This window comes from Homo sapiens, chromosome 4, assembly GCF_000001405.40.
Source record: "Homo sapiens chromosome 4, GRCh38.p14 Primary Assembly".
Classification (NCBI taxonomy): domain Eukaryota; kingdom Metazoa; phylum Chordata; class Mammalia; order Primates; family Hominidae; genus Homo; species Homo sapiens.
In genome coordinates this window covers 76,019,825-76,043,314 of record NC_000004.12, presented here as the reverse complement: position 1 = coordinate 76,043,314, position 23,490 = coordinate 76,019,825, and the positions used below count along the sequence as shown (strand labels likewise).

The window sequence follows — 23,490 nt, the reverse complement described above, 5'->3', positions numbered from 1 at the left end:
CACCCAAGGGCTGAGGAGTGTGGGCACACAGCACCGGGACTGGCAGGCAGCTCCACCTGCAGCCCTGGTGCGGGATCCACTGCGTGAAGCCAGCTGGGCTCCTGAGTCTGGTGGGGACGTGGAGAACCTTTATGTCTAGCTCAGGGATTGTAAATACACCAATCAGCCCTCTGTATCTAGCTCAAGGTTTGTAAATACACCAGTCAGCACCCTGTGTCTAGCTCAGGGTTTGTGAATGCACCAATCGACACTCTGTATCTAGCTATTCTGGTGGGGCCCCGGAGAACCTCTGTGTCGACACTCTGTATCTAGCTAATCTGGTGGGGATGTGGAGAACCTTTGTGTCTAGCTCAGGGATTGTAAACGCACCAATCACGCCCTGTCAAAACAGACCACTCGGCTCTACCAATCAGCAGGACGTGGGTGGGGCCAGATAAGAGAATAAAAGCAGGCTGCCCGAGCCAGCAGTGGCAACCCGCTCAGGTCCCCTTCCACACTGTGGAAGCTTTGTTCTTTCACTCTTTGCAATAAATCTTGCTGCTGCTCACTCTTTGGGTCCACACTGCTTTTATGAGCTGTAACACTCACCGCGAAAGTCTGCAGCTTCACTCCTGAGCCAGCGAGACCACGAACCCACCAGAAGGAACAAACTCCGAACACATCCGAACATCAGAAGGAACAAACTCCAGACGCGCCACCTTAAGAGCTGTAACACTCACCGCGAGGGTCCGTGGCTTCATTCTTGAAGTCAGCGAGACCAAGAACCCACCAATTCTGGACACACTTTTAAGAGTTTAGGATTCTACATTAATCTGTTCAGTCTATCTATATTATTTCAGGTGTCTATTACATGCCTGGCAACCTCTTCCCTAGGAGTGAGTCATCTGTCTTCTAACACTCAAAACAGGATTCTTTTAAGTCATACTTATTTATAATAAATGGAAACATTAGTTTTCATTTCTAACCCACTTTTCACTAACTTAACTGAATAAAATATCCTTGATACTACCTTTTTTCTTTTGTCAGGCAATATATTATTCAGAGACCTGGTGAATGGTGAGTTGGAAATTATTTTTAAATAGCTTACATTAATCTCTTTTAACTTGGAAACATTTTAAAATTCTACATTAATTGGCTAACTTAGCAGCATTAATAAAATTTCAGATGAAGCACAGATTACAGATTTTTTAAGCTGAAAAGGTGATTACTTATGGAAACTAGATTCCATCATTTCCTGGGATGCTCCTATGTCTTTAAATTAAAAGCAAAACTTATTTAAGTGGGTGAACCTGGGAAAATAAAATAAAGTAGTCCAATTCTGGAAACAATAAAAAAGGCCAACACTGCTAAGAACACAGAGAATGTATCTGATCTTTTTTGCATTTAATCAAAGAAAAAGAGCAATGAGATATAATGACTTAGAGAAAGAAGAAAACAACTAGGGAAATTTACAGGAGTTTGACAGTTATCTATCTGCCTCTCCAACCTCAGCTTTAGTTTAAAATAAGTATGGAGTCAGTATATAATACATGCCAAATGAATAACTAGACCTTCACTGTCCAATATGGTAGCCACTAAACACATGTTATTATCAAGCATTTGAAATGTAGCTAGTTCAATTTGAAGACTTAGTAATAAAAGGTAAAATATTTCATTTAACATTTTTATATCCACATTGATTACACATTGAAATAATATATTTTCATGCTTAATTAAAGAAAATATATTTAAATTAATTTCATCTGTTTCTTTTTACTTTCTAAATGTGGCTATTGGAATATTTAAAATTATGTCCATGCCTTGCACTGTATTTCTACTGGATAAAGTTAGAAAAGACAGTAAGTTCTACAAAGTATAAAGGTCAAGAAGATACCACGATATAATGAAAAAGGCTTCATGAAGACATCAAGACTTAAACGAAGGAAAGGATTCAAAAGAGGAGAGGAAAGTGCATTTTCATGCTAGAAAAACCATATTATACAAATATAAAAAATAGGGATCTCTCAGGCTCACCAGATGAGGGGATGCTGTGAAAGAAGGTAATCTTCCTCATGTGATGTCAGAGAGTATAGAGCCAGAACAAGTCACAATCCTGAAGACACGTCTGACCCCACACATCTACAAAGCCAGCAGAAATCAGGCAGACTAACTTCTACAATAAGGCAGAAAGTTTGAAATTTGGAACACACGGAAAGGACTTGGTGAGTTTTGTTCACTGTTCTATCTCTAATACCCAAAAGAGTGCCAGACATGTGACAGACATCTAAAATAAACATTTGCTGAATGAATGAGTAAATGAATAAATGAACTACTATAGAAAAGGGTAGTGCTTTCCAGGACACTCTAAGGCAGGAACACTGGGAGGAAGAGCAGTAAAGAGGGAGAGAGTGTTATAGAAGGAGAGAGTATCCACATTAGCACCTGCTAAAGCCTAATTAGGCTTATTTTGTGGTTCAAGGAGATGAAGTGAAAAGGTTACAGCACAAAACCAATCCCTCTCCTTACTCTGCATAATTTTGGATCTATCACCTGAAGAAGTGAAGAACTAAATAAACCTCCCTCAGTTTTCAAACTGTGATTTAGCTCTGAGGAAAAGCAGACAAAGATGTGTCTACATGGGGGAGGGATAGCCCCCTCCTCTAGGGTCATACACAAGCAGCAGCCTCCGTGAGGAAGATTATGCAGTAGTCTTCCTCACAGAGGAAAAGGAAGAATTTTTTTTTCTCCCTGTCTTCTCCTCTGTCTCCTTCTGAAGTATCTATATAGTCCCTGACACATGGAGGGGGCGGGGGGGAGAACCTGATATAGTCTGATATAGAACTTGTTAGGCGAAATGTGTGTGTGTGTGTGTGTGTGTGTGTGTGTGTGTGTGTGTGTATCCAGTGTATGTGCGTATCCATCCAGAGGGAAGAAAACTAAAGCAGTGGTCATCTCTGGTGGTAAGGTTCTTCTTATTACACATTTTCTAATGTTTGGTTTTTTGTTTTTTTGAGACGGAGTCTCTCTGGGTCACCCAGGCTGGAGTGCAGTGACGCGATCTTGGCTCGCTGCAACTTCCGCCTTCTGGGTTCAAGCGATTCTCCTGCCTCAACCTTGCAAGTAGCTGGAATTACAGGCATGCGCCACCATACCCAGCTGATTTTTGTATTTTTAGTAGAGACAGAGTTTCACCATGTTGGCCAGGCTGGTCTCGAACTCCTGACCTCAAGTGATCCGCCTGCCTCGGTCTCCCAAACTGCTGGGATTACAGGCATGAGCCACCATGCCCAGCTCTAATGTTTTTTTAAAATATCAGATATTACCTTTGCAGTAAGGAAGAAAATAAAACAATAGAAAATAAAATACAGTAGTCCCCTTGTTATCCTTGGGGGATACATTCCAAGACTCCCAGCAGAGTACTGAAGGAGAAAATTGTGATCCACAGTTTTTCTACACAGCTAAGTAGTAATTCACACATGAAGGCAAAAGGAAGAGTTTAGTCTTGTTTTATGTAAATTTGAATTATGTCTATTTTCTATTTAAAATAGTATAATGTAAAAATATGTTTAATAATTTCCAGGGTCTTTTTAAAAAAATTAAGAATCCCTATTTAAGAAATTGTCTTACACCAAAGCTATATGACAACACTTTAGCTAGTAAGCAGAAATATTCACTATTGTTTGTCTATATTATTTGAACTATGCTATTGCATTCATGCACTTTCTGTAAGTGATTTTTATGATTAGTATGCTATTTTTATATTCATGGTTATTATAATTTAAAATATTTTTATATGCTATAACAATGTCAACTCATCTTTTATTAAGTGGTTGTGTTTGTGTTAATGCTGAAAAACAGCTGAAAACAAGCTAGATGTGGTATGCCAATTCAGGAAAGGACACTGATAATAATAATAGCAGTTAATACATTTTGAGTGCTACATATTTTTCTAAATGATTAATATGCATTACCTCTTTTAATACCTAGTTTATAACAGCCCTATGAAAAAGGGGTCTGAGACCAGCCTGGCCAACATGGTAAAACCCCATCTCTACTAAAAATACAAAAATTGGCTGGGCGTGGTAACACATGCCTGTAATCCCAGCTACTTGGGAGGCTGAGGCAAGAAAATCGCTTGAACCCAGGAGGCGGAGGTTGCAGTAAGCCGAGATCATGCCACTGCACTCCAGCCTGGGTGGCACAGAGAGACTCCATCTCAAAAAAAAAAAAAAGTACTATTATTATCCCCAGTCTATAGATGAGAAAATAGCCTCAAAAAGTTGAGGTAACTTGTTCATAAATAACTGAATGTGGGCTGGGCACAGTGGCTCACGCCTGTAATCCCAGCACTTTGGGAGGCCAAGGCGGCAGGATCACCTGAGGTTAGGAGTTCAAGACCAGCTTGGCCAACATGGCTAAACACCATCTCTACTAAAACTATAAAAATTAGCCAGGCATGGAGGCACGCACCTGTAATCCCAGCTACTTGGGAGGCTGAGGCAGGCGAATCACTTGAATCCAGGAGGCAGAGGCTGTGGTGAGTCGAGATCACACCACTGCACTCCAGCCTGGGCTACAGAGCAAGAATCCATCTCAAAGATAAATAAATAAATAAATAAATAAATAAATAAATAAATAATCAAGGGTGGATTTGAACACAGGCTGACTCTAGAGCCTTCCCTATTAACAACTATGCTCTACTGTGTTTCTAATGCTGAGAAAATGAAAAGCAACATTAAAAAATAATAACAGATAAGGATTTATGAGCTCCAAGAACACATTCCTTTTACTTTACCCATATTCCTGAGGGAAAATTAGTCTTTCTTTACATATGTTAAATGAATTAATGGAAAAGAAGGAAAGAATATTCCAGCTACTTGGAAATTAATTAAAATACAGTAGCCCCCTCACCTTATCCTTGGGGGATATGTTCCAAGACCCCCAATGAGTGCCTGAAACTGCAGATAGTACTGAGCCCTGTATATATTGTATTTTTTCCTGTACATATATACCTATAAAAAAGTTTGATTTATAAATTAGCCACAGTAAGAGCATCAACATTAATATATAGAATAATTACAACAATATTCTGTAATAAAAGTTAAGTGACTGTGTAGTCTCTCTCTCTTCAAATATCTTATTGTACTATACTCACTCTTCTAGTGATGCTGTGAAATGATAAAATGTCTATGTGATGGGATGAAGTGATGGAGCAAGATGATGTGAGATTTCATCATGCTACTCAGAAAAGTGCACAATTTAAAACTTATGAATTATTTCTAGAATTTCTCATTTAATGGGGGACTACTGTAAAGACTTTCAAAGGTTTTAAAGACTAGTCATGGTTGTTAAAGAATTTAAATGCAGGATTATATCTAAATAAATATATAATTTCAAGATAAAATGCAAATGATAATTCTCAAAAAAAGAAGTTGAATAAGATAAAATAATAATCTAAAAGTAATAAACTGGCTATAAATTCCCCGATTATACCAACTTTTATTGGTAAAACTAGGAAATAGGAGAAAATTCTTGAAAGAAAGTTACAGTGATTTTCTCATGTTACAAAGACAGGAGCTAAAAAAATATTATTGATGGTTGATGTAAATAATTAGAAAAATTCAGGTAAAAATCTTTTTAAAGAATTTTAAGAATTAATATCAAAATGTAAAACAATGTATTCCTTTCAAATTACTTAAGGAAGGCCAAGCACCGTGGCTCATCCCAGTAATCCTAGCACTTTGGGAGACCAAGGCAGGAGGATTGCTTGAGGCCTGGAGTTCATGGCTGCAGTGAGCTATGATTGTGCCACTCGACTCCAGAATGGTGACAGAGTGAGACCCATCTCATTAAAAAAAACAAAAATGGCTTCAAAAAGTTAAATAAAATATATTTAAAGTTAGAAAGAAATCAAAGAAAACATAAAGAATCAGCAAGGAAGCATTTTAAAAATTACAGATTACCAGTTATACAGTAAATATATTTTATTAAGCTTACCCATTAGAAAGCTCCTTTGATATGATTTTCTTAAACATCTACAAGTGACACACTTAAAACAAAGATTTAGGAAGCTTAAGAGGAAAAGATAAAGACAAAAAAATAGGAATTACATCAAAGTAGAATCTCAGAGGTAAAACTATCACATGAGCAAAGAGGATCACTTTTTTTTATGATCCCTAATACAACTCATACAACTTCATGTACTAAGTAACAGTGCTAAAATATATATAAAGTAGCTTTCCACCATGGCCACCATTGGAGGGCAGCAGCCATGACACTGCACTACCCTATAGCTGTGGGCCTCAACAAGGGCCACAAGGTGACCAAGAATGTGAGCAAGCCCAGGCACAGCCACTGTGGGCGCCTGACCAAACTCACTAAATTTGTGTGGGACATGATCCCAGAGGTGTGTGGCTTCACCCCTAACGAGTGGCGTGGCATGGAGTTACTGAAGGTCTCCAAGGTCAAACAGGCCCTCAAATTCATCAAGAAAAGGGTAGGGACAAACATCTGCACCAAGAGAAGGCAGGAGGAGCTGAGCAACGTCCTGGCTGCCATGAGGAAAGCAGCTGCCAAGAAGGACTGAGCCCCCTGCCATCTGCCTATAATGAAAGCTTTGCAGAATAAAATAAATATAAAATAAAGTAATAAAATTAAATTAAATTTAAAAATAAAATAAAGCAAAACAAAATAAAATATATAAAGTAAAAATTGTTGAAAATGCAAAACAATATGGACATAAATACAGAAACACAGGGAAACTTCTTTAGGCACTCATTTACAGGTAAAAATATGAAATTGAATAAAGGTCATCTGGTGTCAAATAATATAGGCCTTATCTATTATAAGAGTTTGGACTGAAAAGCAAAAGTGAGATAATAAAAAAAAGCTTTTCAGAATATTATTTTGTATAGATATGTGAAGGATGAAGGGTGGGTGAAAGGACCAAAAACAGAAACACAGTCTTCCTGAATGAATGACAATCAGAATTCCGCTGCCCAAAGTAGTCCGACAATTAAATGGATTTCTAGGAAAAGCTACCTTAAGAAGGCTGGTTACCATCTGGGTTTTCACAGTGCTTTCACATTCTTATCACTTTCAACACTACTGCAAATAGGAAGGGACAGTAACATTTAGAAGAGAACAAAACAGAAACTCTTGGAAGCAGGAAAGGTGCATGACTCAAAGAGGGAAATTCCTGTGCCATAAAAGGATTGCTGGTGTATAAAATGCTCTATATATGCCAATTATCAATTTCCTTTCATGTTCAGCATTTCTACTCCTTCCAAGAAGAGCAGCAAAGCTGAAGTAGCAGCAGCAGCACCAGCAGCAACAGCAAAAAACAAACATGAGTGTGAAGGGCATGGCTATAGCCTTGGCTGTGATATTGTGTGCTACAGTTGTTCAAGGTATGCAGTAATTTTTATTTCTCAACCTATAAGTTCCTTTTCTAATGTTTCAAATGTCTTTTCTTCCACTTTTATCCTAAAAGACATGATAAAGTTTTATTTAATCTCACAGATTAGAAGTTACTACAGCTTTAGCACAGAAATGGTGGACATGTTTAAGATACTAGAGATGATTATTGAAACTAGAAATTATGAACTTCATGGAATTTTTGATTTGGCTAGAATATCTGGCAAAAGCCTTTAGCAACAGTTTTAAATGTCTGTTAAGAAGATTTTATATAGCGATCATGTTAACAAGCTTCCTGGGAAAATATTTGAGGATAAAATCAAGGGGGCAAAACAAGCTTCACCTCCAATAAACTTCCTTCATGCTTCCCATTTGTTAGCGATTTGCTTACTAATTTAATGAGAAAATAATCAACATCTTACTTAACTTTTCCCAGTAACAGTTGTGTTAAGTGCTATTTGACAAATTACTATCTTTACCCTTAATGAAAATTCTGCTCACGTTCACCACCAGCTATAAACCACAGCCATCTGTTGCAATCAGATGCATTACTAACTAATGCTATGATCTATTCTAGGCTTCCCCATGTTCAAAAGAGGACGCTGTCTTTGCATAGGCCCTGGGGTAAAAGCAGTGAAAGTGGCAGATATTGAGAAAGCCTCCATAATGTACCCAAGTAACAACTGTGACAAAATAGAAGTGATGTAAGTAATGAACTTGCTGAAGATGACAATGGTGCAGGCTTTTTTGTTTATGTATTTGCATCTAAACTTTAAGACTCTTGTATGTTCTTTTAACAGTATTACCCTGAAAGAAAATAAAGGACAACGATGCCTAAATCCCAAATCGAAGCAAGCAAGGCTTATAATCAAAGTAAGTTACCAAATTACTCCCATGTTATAATCTGTTTTATCCAAGACAGATCTTTTGAAAAAGAAAATAATGTGGACAACTACAGAAAGATTCTGCTATGATCCTGTGTGAAATATTCTGTTAAGGGGTCCTTGGTTGTAACAGCTTCCCCTTCTTACTACATGTTTTTAGATGTCCTGGGGGAAACAAGAACAGCCCAAGTAAATAAAACTCTTGTTTTCTTATTCCAGAAAGTTGAAAGAAAGAATTTTTAAAAATATCAAAACATATGAAGTCCTGGAAAAGAGCATCTGAAAAACCTAGAACAAGTTTAACTGTGACTACTGAAATGACAAGAATTCTACAGTAGGAAACTGAGACTTTTCTATGGTTTTGTGACTTTCAACTTTTGTACAGTTATGTGAAGGATGAAAGGTGGGTGAAAGGACCAAAAACAGAAATACAGTCTTCCTGAATGAATGACAATCAGAATTCCACTGCCCAAAGGAGTCCAACAATTAAATGGATTTCTAGGAAAAGCTACCTTAAGAAAGGCTGGTTACCATCGGAGTTTACAAAGTGCTTTCACGTTCTTACTTGTTGCATTATACATTCATGCATTTCTAGGCTAGAGAACCTTCTAGATTTGATGCTTACAACTATTCTGTTGTGACTATGAGAACATTTCTGTCTCTAGAAGTCATCTGTCTGTATTGATCTTTATGCTATATTACTATCTGTGGTTACGGTGGAGACATTGACATTATTACTGGAGTCAAGCCCTTATAAGTCAAAAGCATCTATGTGTCGTAAAACATTCCTCAAACATTTTTTCATGCAAATACACACTTCTTTCCCCAAACATCATGTAGCACATCAATATGTAGGGAGACATTCTTATGCATCATTTGGTTTGTTTTATAACCAATTCATTAAATGTAATTCATAAAATGTACTATGAAAAAAATTATACGCTATGGGATACTGGCAAAAGTGCACATATTTCATAACCAAATTAGTAGCACCAGTCTTAATTTGATGTTTTTCAACTTTTATTCATTGAGATGTTTTGAAGCAATTAGGATATGTGTGTTTACTGTACTTTTTGTTTTGATCCGTTTGTATAAATGATAGCAATATCTTGGACACATCTGAAATACAAAATGTTTTTGTCTACCAAAGAAAAATGTTGAAAAATAAGCAAATGTATACCTAGCAATCACTTTTACTTTTTGTAATTCTGTCTCTTAGAAAAATACATAATCTAATCAATTTCTTTGTTCATGCCTATATACTGTAAAATTTAGGTATACTCAAGACTAGTTTAAAGAATCAAAGTCATTTTTTTCTCTAATAAACTACCACAACCTTTCTTTTTTAAAAAAAGATCTATATACTTTCCAGGACATTTGAGATGCCTTTAACAATTTTGCCTTATATTTCAGAAACATACACCTATCCGTCATCATGAAAAACTGTTTAGAAATATATTTTAATGGGTAGGTGGGAAAGACAGTTGTTTCTTTTGTCGGCCTTGGGGGGTCTTGATAGTCCAAACCCCCTTCTTACTTGGAGAAAATCCCTTATGTGAGTGTTGGTGGGAGGCCAAAAGAGAGAAGCCAAAGACAGGAGATCCTCTCCTGTAGCCACAACAAGGACTCAGCCATGCTGTTTCTACCCTAGACTTTGAACTCCAGCTGGCATCACAAAGATACTATTAGTAAGAAAATTATTTCAAGCCTGGCAGCAGCAGGAGAAACAATGAAAGTCTTACAGTAGTGTCTTCCCAATGTGTGTTCCTGTAGCATGACTCTGGCTAGTCCTTCCTATCACCTAGTTCCCTTAGGTCTTTGTCCATTTTCCAAGACTTATTCTCCATTGTCCTGTGGATTCTTCAACCTCCAACTAAATTCTTTTTCTCCTTAAGATAGCCAGAGTTGGTTTCTCTGCATGTAACCAAAAGCCTTGACTGATAGCAGTACTCTCTATATAGGCACCCATACATTTGAAAAATAAAAATATTTATTATAGGATTATAATCAGATATATCTATATTGCATTATTATATAGGTTATAGATACAATATAGATTTATAATAAATTGTTATATAAATCTATATAAATATCTATATAGAGATGGGACTTCCATATAAATTCCCTGGATAGTTTTAAGACCTGAATCTGGCTGGGTGCGATGGCTCACATCTGTAATCCCAGCACTTTGGGAGGCCGAAGCGGGCGGATCACCTGAGGTCAGGAGTTCAAGACCAGCATGGCTAACATGGTGAAACCCCATTTCTACTTAAAATGCAAAAAATTAGCCGAGGCTGCTGGCACGTGCCTGTAATCCCAGCTACTCAGGAAGCTGAGGCAGGAGAATCGCTTGAACCCGGGAGGCAGAGGTTGCAGTGAGCTGAGATCATGCCATTGCATTCCAGCTTGGGCAACAAGAGTGAAACTGCACCTCAAAAAAAAAAAAAAAAAAAAGACTTGAATCTAATCTTTGACTACTTACAGTGATTTTTTTTTTAAGTCTCTTTAAAAATAAAAATTCACATAGTCAGCTGGGCATGGTGGCTCACACCTATAATCTGAGCACTTTGGGAGACCAACATAGGTGAATGGCTTAAGCCCAGGAGTTCAAGACTAGCTTGGGCAACATAGCGAAAATTCATCTCTATAAAAAATAGGAAAATTAGCTGGGTATGGTGGCACATGCCTGTAACCTCAGCTACTTGGGAAGCTGAGGTGGATGGATCACTTGGGTCTGGGAGGTTGAGGCTGCAGTCAGCTGTGATCACACCACTGCACTCCAGCCTGGGCAAAAGCCTGCCTCAAAAAAAAAAAAAATTCACAGAGTTAAGGCTGCATGATAAATTGGTATTTGTAAGAAGTATATTAAATATTATAGGCCAGTACATTATTACTGAGAAGAAAACATACACCTAAAGTTCTTCATAGCAAAATAAATATATGAAATATTAATAATTAACATATTTGAGCCAAGATCCTCCCCACCTTGGTACCTTTGCACATACTATTCTCTCTGCCCATTTCTTCACTAAGCTAATGCCTACTAATTGCTTAGGTCTCAGCTTAAATGACTTTTTCTCCAAGAAGCCTTTGAAACCACCACTTCAGCTTTAACTAGATTAGGTGTCCTATTTATTTATTTCCATAACACTCTCTATTTTTCCATCATACTACTTACTGCAATTGTAATTAATGAATTATTCCTGTGCCTAATATCTGCTCTCTCATAAGTGTAAAAGAAAGCTGCTGTAGCCCAGGCCAACAGTACAGTTTCTGGTGCATATCAGACCCTATTGAATGGCAATATAAACTAAGGGAAAAGGAATTTACAGCAGAGGAATGACACAAGGGAATGTACAGTAGTAGGAAGTATAAAGTGATTTTTAGGAATCATAATTAGATTCGTTTGGTTGGAAGGATGAAGGACATGAAACTGTAAATAACCTTGAATTTTACTCTGTACAAAATGGGGATTCAATAAATGTTTGTGAAGAAGAGAGTGACCCTATCAAAGTCATTGGAAAATATTCTGGGAATTGCATGAATGGTTGATTGAAAGTGGGAAAGAGTGGAGGAGGAAAATCAGTTGGGATTTGCTGCAATAGCTGCAATATCTCAGGTCTGTATTTCCAAAACTTCAAGGCATTCTCATATCATCTTTACAATTTTTTTTTAACATTTCTCTGTTTGATCTTCATTATATTTTTAGAAACTCTGTATACCACTTTATTTTACGTACATTTACATGAAAAGTAAACTTTCACTACTGTACATGTAAAATCGGTAATACATGCCATGGAAATAAAATGTAATGATAAAACAAAATACAATGAAAAAATACTAATATTCCCCCTGATTTAATTAATCAGAGGGATTGAAGTTAAGAAGAGAATAATTCACTGATACTAAACGTTATTATCAATGTACATGGTAGTGTCCCACACTTTGGGAAACACTGGTGTGAAAAGTAATGGGGCTGGCTCTGCAATAAGTTAAACATAATTATAGTAATTATATATTACTATATAATCCAGCAATTCCATTCCTAGGTATATACCCAAAAGAACTGAAACAGCTCTTTAAACAAAAACTGGTACACAAATGTTCATAGCAGCATTATACACAACAGCCAGAAAGCAGAAACAACCCAAATATCCATCAACAAGTGAATGGATAAAATGTGGTATACACACACAATAGATTATTCGGCCATAAAAAGGAATGAAGTACTGATACATGCTACAACATGGATGAACCTTGAAAATATGCTAAGTAAAAAAAGCCAGACACAAGGGACCACATATTGTATGATTCCATTTTATAGGAAATATCTAGAGTAGGCAAAACCATAAAAACAAAAAGCAAATTAGCTGACTGGGGTTTGGGGGAGGTGTTAATGAGGAGTAACTACTTAATGAGTATGGAGTTTCTGGGTGATGAAAATGTTCTGGAACTAAATTATGGTGATGGCTTCACAGCACTGTGAAAGTACTTAACTCCACTGAATTGTACTCTTTTAAATGGTTAAAATGGTAAATTTTATGTTATTTGTATTTTACTATCATAAAAAGAAGAAGGGCTACACTAAGGTGGTATTGGTAAGAGTAGAAATATAATGACAAGTACACTGTACAAAAATAATCAAGACAGTGATAGATTGGATGTGAAAGTTGAAGCTGAGGCCAGACACGGTGGCTCACGCCTGTAATCCCAGCACTTTGGGAGGCCGAGGCGGGTGGATCACGAGGTCAGCAGTTCAAGACCAGCCTGGCCAACATGGTGAAACCCCGTCTCTACCAAAGATACAAAAAATTAGCTGGGCATGGTGGTGCATGCCTGTAATCCCAGCTACTCAGGAGGCTGAGGCAGGAGAATCGCTTGAACCCGGGAGGTGGAGGTTGCAGTGAGCCGAGATCGCGTCATTGCACTCCAGCCTGGGCTACATAGAGCGAGACTCCATCTCAGAAAAAGAAAGTTGAAGATGCAAAAAAGAAACAAAGAACATGTTAAGGATTTGAGTCTGAATTTAAAGCAGAGAAGAGACAAGGAAAAAAGGCTGAACTTCTGAGGTCTGAAAGAATAGTTCTGTCACTAACAGAAATAGGGATATGAGGGGGAAGATGTAGTTTAGCAGAAAAAACTGCAGATTCGATTTTAAATACATGGAACTTAAGATGCCAAACACTCACAGTGACTTAAAATTTCAGGACTGTTTCCTCTAATTAGCCAAGAAGAGCTTTCAAACAAATGGAGTAGTTTTGGATAATGCTATTAGAAAAGGAAAGATTATACTTAATTATTTTTGGCTACTGAGTACAGGACCTAATATGCCCACATGGAATTAATATACCTCTTTGTATCTATTTCTGAAAAGATTTTCATAGCCAACAATTATAAATCTTTATGATATGGTCAGCACATTCTGTGGATTATAAGTAGTACACACACAAAAAAAACTGTTAGGGTTTTTTTTGGAGAAGGGGTGAATGAGGCAATTTTAGTTGCTTCTTCTTGCCTTGTCTGCAAATTTTATTAACCAGACACTGGTAATGAAATTGAGCAAGTCTGAGATTATCACATAACACTGAAACCATAGTTTCACTTAAGTACCTAAGAAGAATACGTCCTAAAAATCCTGGCACCATAAGTACAGATGTATTCATAGTTCCTTAGTGCTGCTCAATAAACTGCTACTAAATTGGAAATGCCCTAACGTGAATTATAGACTCTATATAATAAATCCTGACTTAGCATTCTTCTTCAAATTGTTCACAAAGACAAACTGTCAATAAGAAGTTGAAGAAAACTGAATGATAATCTAAAATATGGAATAACAGGCACTACTGAACTATATCATATCTCAAGATTCCTCTTCTCAAAAGAAAAGACAACCAATGATGAATCAATTAAAATTAAAACTAGACATTTTCTAAAGATTTTGATTAAAAATGGAACAAAGTATCACAAAATTCTAATTTATTTTGTTGAAATATCTTATTTATGGGAAGGAGAAAGAAATGCACCATACTTCCCCCAAACACATTTACTTTATTATAATGTCCTCCAATTTTGTCTCTTCCTCCAAATGATGAAATCTGCCATATTTGTAAAAGTCCTCTCAAGTGCGCGAGTTCAGAAACACTGCATAGCCTAAAATGTATCCAAACAGAAGCTATTCTGAGCCTCTGCCTCCTCCAATGCCATGATGATTGTTAGGGTCTACCACCCACTTTGCCAGCACTCAGTTTGCCCTCTGCTTAGGCTGGCTATGAAGGATGAGACACATGGGTAATTGAAAAGTATGTAACCAGTATTACCAAACACTGTGAGCTCGGGGAATCTTTTGAGAGCTCAGAGTGAAAACTGTGAAGGGGAAGCTTTGCCCTGCTCTCCCATACTTTCCAAGGCATATTCTGCACCAGCTGAGGGGATTCCCAGTCCACAGAAATCACTGATGTCCTCCTGCTCACTTTTTAGAAAATTTCTTCTAAGCATAACAGTTTCCGGGAAAGCATTTTTGCCTTCGTCTGTGCTCATTAGTTTGTCAGGGCAGACTGTTCCTTTTTTCATTGTTGTCTTTTTTGGCCTGATGCCATAATCACAGGCTTAAAGATAAATCAATAGCGACTGAAACGGAAACTAAAGCGGGATACTTCCTTAACTTTCATTTTCTTTCAAAATTATACTCAGATCAGTGAATTCTAGGAACGTGATTATACCATAAACGTTGCAAAAATTGAGAGAAATATATAAAAAGAGTTATCATTTAGATTTTTATTCAAATGACACATGCAGTCTTGGCTTTGGGTGAAATAAGTAATAGTGGGCTTGCTACTGTCTCTAAAAGTTTGATTTTTTTTTTCTAAATGATTTTCCATGTTGATCACATTTGTCAGGTTTCTACCCTGAGCAGAACCCTCATTTAAAACAAGAAGAGAAGGGTCCTTCGTTTGACTCTGCTCACCAGGTACTGTTCTGATACTAATTCAATTTCCTAGGCAATCTGATCTTGGGAAAGGGGTGACTTGGATACCAAAACCAATCATCCTAGTCACTGAAAAGGTTCTCATTGTAAATGGATACACTGTCTTTTAATTTTCATCTTAGTCTATCTGAGATTTGGTTAGCAGAGTTAACTCTCTGAGAATATGCTTACCCTGGATGATTAGGAAAAAATGAGAATTTCTGGACTGGAAAAACTGAGGACCAGATTTTATAGAATCCTAACACGGCATTATCACCCCTATGAGTCTACCAATCTTCCTGACTGGTTGGTTGGCTTCCCCCTTTACCATTTTTTGATGACATTTATCTGTCATCAAATGTAATGGATTGTAATGGATACACTGTCTTTTAATTTTCATCTTAGTCTATCTGAGATTTGGTTAGCAGAGTTAACTCTCTGAGAATATGCTTACCCTGGATGATTAGGAAAAAATGAGAATTTCTGGACTGGAAAAACTGAGGACCAGATTTTATAGAATCCTAACACGGCATTATCACCCCTATGAGTCTACCAATTTTTCTGACTGGTTGGTTGGCTTCCCCCTTTACCATTTTTTGATGACATTTATCTGTAATTGCACAAGCTTTCCTCTCCTGGCCACTTACTTAAGTAACATTCACACTTTATGGCTCATCTGAGGTCTTTTTTTCTGAAGGATCTTCTGAAAACTTCTGACCTTAATGAGTACAGTCTCCTATGAACCTCCACATTATTTATTTTCTATACCACTCATTTGGTACTGATCATAAAGTTTCTTTTTTTCTTTTCTTTTTTTTGAAACGGAGTTTCGCTCTTGTTGCCCAGGCTAGAGTGCAATGGCGTGATCTCGGCTCACTGCAACCTCCGTCTCCAGGGTTCAAGTGATTCTCCTGCCTCAGCCTCCTGTGTAGCTGGGATTACAGTCGCCCACCACCACGCCCAGCCAATTTTTTGTATTTTTAGTAGAGACAGGGTTTCACGATGTTGGCCAGGCTGTTCTAGAACTCCTGACCTAAGGTGATCCACCCGCCTGGGCCTCCCAAAGTGCTGGGATTACAGGCATGAGCCACCTTGCCCGGCCCATAAAGTTTCTCTTATTGATATTTATTGTTTCATAGTTTCTGGTCTTCCCAATTAGAATGTAAACCCATCAAGGATAAATATTGGATCTCAACCCTTCTAGTATTCCCTGAGATTAGCTTAGTTCCCTACACAAAGTGCACAGAAAATAATGAGAACAAGCCTACTTCTCCTCCTTCTTCTAACACCATCCATGGCCATATACATGATATGCACTGAGGATATTTGCATTCCTGCATTCATTCATTCAATGCTTAATTACAGATAAAAAAACAGCAAATAACTAAGAAGCTTTTAGGGGTACCACTCTATATTTACCAGAGTTCCGGAATGAAGAGTCTGTCCTATAGCTAGCTGAGAATATCTGTATTGATTTTACCTACTTAAATCTAAACTAACTTCTGGGGAAATTATAGTCTTCTTAAATTAAACTTGGTTCTTAAAGCTAAGGAAAACAATAATACTCATGTCCAGATTCAGAAATCTGATGAACAAATGGAAATACTTCTTGAAATACAATCCTGGTATGCTGTCACTTAAAGTCTGTAAAGATTCATTCAACCATCCTTCTATCCAATATTTACCAAATGCCTCTCATATGCATTTTAGTTCCCTGTTCTCCTGGGGCATACATTTTAGCATGGAGAAACAGACATTACACTAATTAAAAAAAATGAATGAACTGAATATCAGATAGTATGAAATGCCATGTAGAGAATTAAAGTCATGTCTGCTTCAGATTGTGTGACAAGAGAAGGTACAAGCCAGCTAAAATTTAAATGTCCAGAAGGAACTCTCTATGTGACGAACAGGAGGAAAAGCATACCAGATGGAGAAAATTGCCAGTGTATGGGCCACTGACTGGATTGTAGTGGTTGAGAAGGAATGATATGAGGTTGGACAAATAGGTAGCAGCCAGATCATAGAGGATTTAGTAAAGCAGCTTAATTAGAAATTTGGATTTTATTCTAACTGGAAGTTGTTTGAGGTCTTAAGCAGAAGAGTGACGTGATCACTTACGTTTTTTAAATAAAAAAAGTAAGTGATCATGTTCCACTGCTACATATGTACCCCACAAAATGAAAGCATATGCCCAGAAAAAAAATTATAAAAAAATCTTCGTAGCAGCTTTATATATAATAACTAAAATCTGAACACAGTCAAGGTGTCCATCAACAAGAAACAAACTGATATGTTTGTGCAATGGATTACTACCCATCAATAAAGAGAAACAAATTACTAATTCATGCAACTACATCGATGAATCTAAGAAACATTATACTGAGCAAAAGATGTCTTGCACAAAAGAGTATATACTCAAGTGGTTCCATTTATATGAAGTTCTAGAACAGGCAAAAATAATCTATGGTGAAAAAAATAGAAGAGTGGCTGGGTCAGAGGTAGATGTTATTATAAGAATAAAATGAGTCAATATGGTCAATAGTCACAAAGCAGTTCAAACAATGCCTGGCACACAGTTAATGTAATACAATGTTTAGTAAAAATCAAATATTTTATCCCTAATAACAGATTTTTAGTCCATTTATCAAGTATCTCCTTTTTACATTGTCTTCTATATAGAGACATTTTAGCTGACAACTTAGATACCAACTAAAATAAAACTGTCACCATCTCTCATTTTGATTGTTTAATGTTGAACTTTTCTAGGCCTCTTCCATTCATGATGTCAGACATTTCTCTGAAATTTGTTGGCATTCTATTCACAGTAAAATGTTTGTTCTGCACAAATAGGTATGGAAGGATCCCTCCATTGTCACTATTTCTCATAAGACTTTCCCTCATCAGAACGAACGCCTCTTTGCTAGGTGAAAGTCTTTTGGGTTCTGTCAGTCTCTACCTCACCTCCCTCTCTTTTGCCTTTCCGGTTTCCCACAGCTAATTCCACTGACTTATTCACTTGAAAGCTTAGCTCTATTCCAGTTCCTAGAACAGATTAACATGGGATTCAGCTCTCTAGCAAATTCCATTTACCCCAAGCAACTCACTCTCTGCTTTAATGATGGAGTTCCTACATTTGAGGATCCAAGTTTTATGTGCACCCAGTTTGCAGATACAGGCTTTATTCTTGGCCCCTGATACCAGGTTCTGAGACAGTATCTGCCTAGTACAGTAGCCTGATCCTAGGATGGAAGCTTTTCCATTCCCTGACCAATCCCTGCATTGTTGCAGCCCAGCTGACTATGAAAAGAACTCCCATATATTTTCCTAGGTTCTAAATATCACTTGCCTCAGATCTCTCATTGCAGGGTGGTGCCTGCCTTTGAAACAGTATTTCATCTTGGATTCCCTGTTACTAATCATTTGCAAAGAACACAACCAAGGACCACTATATCCATGGATACTGCTAAATTTCCACTCTCAGGTTCAACATGTGTTCCATTATATGAGTATCATGTGCTTTCTACTGCTAGCTACTATGAATAATCAGTCAAGTACTATTGAATGCTGTGAAATTAAGTTTTGCCACGATTCATCATCCAGTTAAAATTGTGCCAATTTCAGTTATCACTGTTACTAGCTCAATGGCCAACACTTTTTTTTTCTTTTTCTTTGCATTTAACAGTGTCTTGGAGCTGAACCCCATCGTAAATCAACCTGTTTCCCTTCTGTCTCAAGCTACTTTCCCAAGGTCTGTCTCTATGCGTGCCCCCCCGCTTTTAAATTCATTTCCTCAAAAAGCACCCTTTGTTTTTTACAATAACCCTAGGATAGCTATGAATCCTTTTCTCACACCATTCTAGATACCATCTTATGATGTTTTCATTCAGGGACTGCTATAAGACGTGAAACTTGTTTTAACACACCACAAATCAGATACCCAAATGAGCAATGTTTTCCCTCAAAATAGTTATGTTGGAGGCTATTTACTTAATCTAATGGTGTTATGAATGATCAAAGCATTTATTGAATTATTTAAAACTTGCCAGTTCCAGATCTTTGACCCTGTCAAAGCAGGCCAGTCCTATTACTTTATAGTATTTGATCAAGGAGGACTGTCCAGGTAAATCACTGTTCTAATAATCAGGCACAACTTGCTGTTACCAAAAAATTAGGTTTACCTATAAAGGATGAAAAATTTCTATTACTGGGGATATTTTGAAAAATAACCTCTGAAAGTAACTGTAAAAGTTTAAGTGTTGAGAAAAAGCATTATAGTTAGAATGGATTGCAACCTTTGTTTTTTTCTATATGCAATGAAGTTCTTTTTTTCAAGAAACAGTTCATGTTTTGGAAAGTGAAACCTAATTCACTATTACCAAAAAAAGAGGAGCAGAGGGAAATTCCGTAACTTGGAGGCTACAATAAATAATACCTTCGAGTCTGCAACATGGGACTTCCCCAGGAACAGCCAGCAGGTTTTGCTAAGTCAACTGTAATGCCCTTATCCAATCAGAATTAGGGAGGGAAAATGGCTTTGCAGATAAATATGGCACACTAGCCCCACGTTTTCTGAGACATTCCTCAATTGCTTAGACATATTCTGAGCCTACAGCAGAGGAACCTCCAGTCTCAGCACCATGAATCAAACTGCCATTCTGATTTGCTGCCTTATCTTTCTGACTCTAAGTGGCATTCAAGGTAAGGAACATCAAAGGATACTTAATTTGTAAAATGAGAAATAGGAATAGGTATAAATTCTAAAAATACAGAAATAATGTATTTGTAAAAGTTTCACTGCATGCTTATAAATAAGAGGGAAATAAATAGAGATTCCCTCAGATCATAAAACTTATATGAATTGAAGTGAGAGAAACAAATAGAATAAGAGAAAGAGAAGGAAAAAGGGAAGGAGGACAGAAGAGATGGGGAAGAGGGAGGATAGAGAGAGAAAATGTGAGGGAATGCGGACAGAGATGAGATACAGATACTTCCTTACCTAACTAAGCTCAATGAACCACATGAACTGTGCTTAAGGGTTTGACTTTATAATCAACAAGCTGCAATTCTTTTCTTCCAGATAATCAACTCTTTAATCATTTACAGTTGTGTTATGATGTGATCCATTCCTCCTCAGATTAAGTGACTATTTGCTGATATGGGGATATAGGTTCTGCTAAATACCACCAGTCTACATTAAATGCCTAAAATGAACACTGTGCTAACCTTCTCTGCTGTTCCTCTTTTCCTACAGGAGTACCTCTCTCTAGAACTGTACGCTGTACCTGCATCAGCATTAGTAATCAACCTGTTAATCCAAGGTCTTTAGAAAAACTTGAAATTATTCCTGCAAGCCAATTTTGTCCACGTGTTGAGATCATGTGAGTGAAATCCCATCTGATTATCACTTCCCTGGTTGTAATTATATACTGTATTAAATATGTAATGATAATAAAAAAAGATCAGTAAAGGGTTTGTGATGATTCTAAAACTAATGTACAGCAAACAAAAACATGCAGAGTGAAACTTAAATGTCTGACTTCAGAACTGCGTATGCCATCTGTTTTATTGACCCAACACAGTTTTAAATATTTTCATCCCTATTTATTTCTACAGTGCTACAATGAAAAAGAAGGGTGAGAAGAGATGTCTGAATCCAGAATCGAAGGCCATCAAGAATTTACTGAAAGCAGTTAGCAAGGAAAGGTAGGTTTGCTGTTGCCTGCAGAAGAATTGCTCTTTAGGAAACGGCAATCTTGGGAGTCAGAAATACTTGCATTGTGGTTTGCTGTGCAATCGCTGGTTTAAAAGTATGTTACCACCACGCCCTCCCCTACCTCCATTTATTTAAATGCTGAGGCACCATCTTGTGTGATAAGTATCAGAAGTTACCCTGATTACCAGTCAACCTTGAAGTACAGCTATAACTATCTAAGCAAAACTGACAACATTTTCCCCAAGTCTTTCATGGTTGAAAAAAGCAACCCCTATAATCCATAATGAATGCATAGCAGCAGGAAAGCTCAGTTATCTATTCTATGAACTCGGTACTTTCCAAACACAACCCAATCTGAAGCCAGAGTCAGACTATCACACTTTTATATCCCCTTTCTCTTCTTACAGGTCTAAAAGATCTCCTTAAAACCAGAGGGGAGCAAAATCGATGCAGTGCTTCCAAGGATGGACCACACAGAGGCTGCCTCTCCCATCACTTCCCTACATGGAGTATATGTCAAGCCATAATTGTTCTTAGTTTGCAGTTACACTAAAAGGTGACCAATGATGGTCACCAAATCAGCTGCTACTACTCCTGTAGGAAGGTTAATGTTCATCATCCTAAGCTATTCAGTAATAACTCTACCCTGGCACTATAATGTAAGCTCTACTGAGGTGCTATGTTCTTAGTGGATGTTCTGACCCTGCTTCAAATATTTCCCTCACCTTTCCCATCTTCCAAGGGTACTAAGGAATCTTTCTGCTTTGGGGTTTATCAGAATTCTCAGAATCTCAAATAACTAAAAGGTATGCAATCAAATCTGCTTTTTAAAGAATGCTCTTTACTTCATGGACTTCCACTGCCATCCTCCCAAGGGGCCCAAATTCTTTCAGTGGCTACCTACATACAATTCCAAACACATACAGGAAGGTAGAAATATCTGAAAATGTATGTGTAAGTATTCTTATTTAATGAAAGACTGTACAAAGTAGAAGTCTTAGATGTATATATTTCCTATATTGTTTTCAGTGTACATGGAATAACATGTAATTAAGTACTATGTATCAATGAGTAACAGGAAAATTTTAAAAATACAGATAGATATATGCTCTGCATGTTACATAAGATAAATGTGCTGAATGGTTTTCAAAATAAAAATGAGGTACTCTCCTGGAAATATTAAGAAAGACTATCTAAATGTTGAAAGATCAAAAGGTTAATAAAGTAATTATAACTAAGATGAAGTGCCTTGTGTGTCACTTGGTTGGGATATTTATTTCATAAGAAACTTAGATTGGAGAAATCTATGGCCTGGAGAAGAAGGTGGCATGGGCAGAAGACAAATGAGTTAGAGAATTACCACTCTCTCTCCTTCCAACTGTAATCTCCTGAAAGGCCCATCATATAAGATCCTACAGAACTAATGTAGCATAACAGAGCTTGGCCTAATCTCCAAATCCCTATAGCCAAATTTCTTTTTTTTTTAATCTCTTATTTTTTTAGACACAGGGTCTTCCTCTGTCACCCAAGCCGGAGTGCAGTGGTGCAATCATAGCTCACTGCAGCCTCGAACTCCTGGGCTCAAGTAATCCTCTGACCTCAGCCTCCAGAGAAGCTGGGATTACAGGTGCAAGCCACCACATCCAGCCCTATGGCCAAATTTCTCTAAGACATGTCCACTTGAATATCCCATAGGAACTTTAGTTTAAACTCCAAAATAAACTAATTCTCCTCTCCCTGAGATCTGTTTCTCCTCCTCTATTCTATGTCCTAGTTTAATTGCACCATCATCCAATCAGTTTCCCAAACCAGAAACCTGGGAGTAATTCTATACTACTTCTTCCTCTCCTCCCACATCCAATTACTTACTAAGAAGATCTTCACAATACATTTAGTTGGCAAATTATTAGCATCTAGAATATGTAAAGAATTCCCATAGATCAAAAAGGAAAAGACAAGGCTGGGTGTGGTGGCTCATGCCTGTAATCTCAGCACTTTGGGAAGCCAAGGCAGGAGGATTTCTTCAGCTCAGGAGTTTGAGACCAGCCTGGAAACACAGTGAGACCCTGTCTCTACCAAAAAAAATATATTTTTTTAGCTACTCAGGAGGCTGAGGCAGGAGGATCACCTGAGCCCAGGAGTCTGGGGTTACAGTGAGCTATGACTGCACCACTGCACTCCAGCTTGGGCAACAGAGTGAGACCTCATCTCTAAAAGAAAAAAAAAGAAGAAAAAAAAAAAGGAAACAGAAGTGAGTAAGAATTTCACAGAAGTAAGAAGCATAAGCCCCTAACATACAAAGATGTTCAACCTCATTTGTAATCAAGGAAATGTACATTCAAATCATTGTGAAATAACATTTCACACCACTAAACTGGCAAAACTTTTTAAGTTTGATAACATCAACCATTGCCAAGGATGCAAGGCAATGAGGAATGCTCTTCCACTGCTGATGAAAGAAAAAATAGCTATGACTACTCTGGAAAACAGTTTGGCATTATCTCACAAAGCTAAACACTGGCATACCCCAT

At 37.4% G+C, this 23,490-nt stretch overlaps 3 protein-coding genes and 1 pseudogene across 19 annotated transcripts in view; 3 read left to right on the top strand and 1 right to left on the bottom strand.

Annotated features, from left to right (window-relative positions):
• The window catches only part of ART3 (ADP-ribosyltransferase 3 (inactive)), a 101,597-nt gene that overhangs the window by 69,472 nt on the left and 8,635 nt on the right, over positions 1–23,490 (bottom strand). The gene's annotated exons all lie outside the window — the stretch shown is intronic.
• On the top strand, positions 6,251–6,565 carry RPL36P8 (ribosomal protein L36 pseudogene 8; annotated as a pseudogene).
• Positions 7,245–9,633, top strand: CXCL11 (C-X-C motif chemokine ligand 11). Of its 2 annotated transcripts, none has more exons than NM_001302123.2 (4): positions 7,245–7,388; positions 7,973–8,099; positions 8,196–8,268; positions 8,503–9,633. In NM_001302123.2, exons 1-4 carry the CDS (start codon positions 7,328–7,330, stop codon positions 8,560–8,562), a joined length of 321 nt encoding a protein of 106 aa, NP_001289052.1. In that variant the 5' UTR covers positions 7,245–7,327; the 3' UTR covers positions 8,563–9,633. The 2 variants fall into 2 exon arrangements, with proteins under 2 accessions (NP_001289052.1, NP_005400.1); NM_005409.5 differs by having other exon boundaries at positions 8,499–9,633.
• Positions 19,818–22,197, top strand: CXCL10 (C-X-C motif chemokine ligand 10). 2 transcript variants are annotated; one of them, NM_001565.4, is made up of 4 exons: positions 19,818–19,944; positions 20,498–20,624; positions 20,860–20,949; positions 21,367–22,197. In NM_001565.4, exons 1-4 carry the CDS (start codon positions 19,884–19,886, stop codon positions 21,383–21,385), a joined length of 297 nt encoding a protein of 98 aa, NP_001556.2. In that variant the 5' UTR covers positions 19,818–19,883; the 3' UTR covers positions 21,386–22,197. The 2 variants fall into 2 exon arrangements, 1 of the variants encoding a protein (NP_001556.2); NR_168520.1 differs by lacking the exon at positions 20,498–20,624.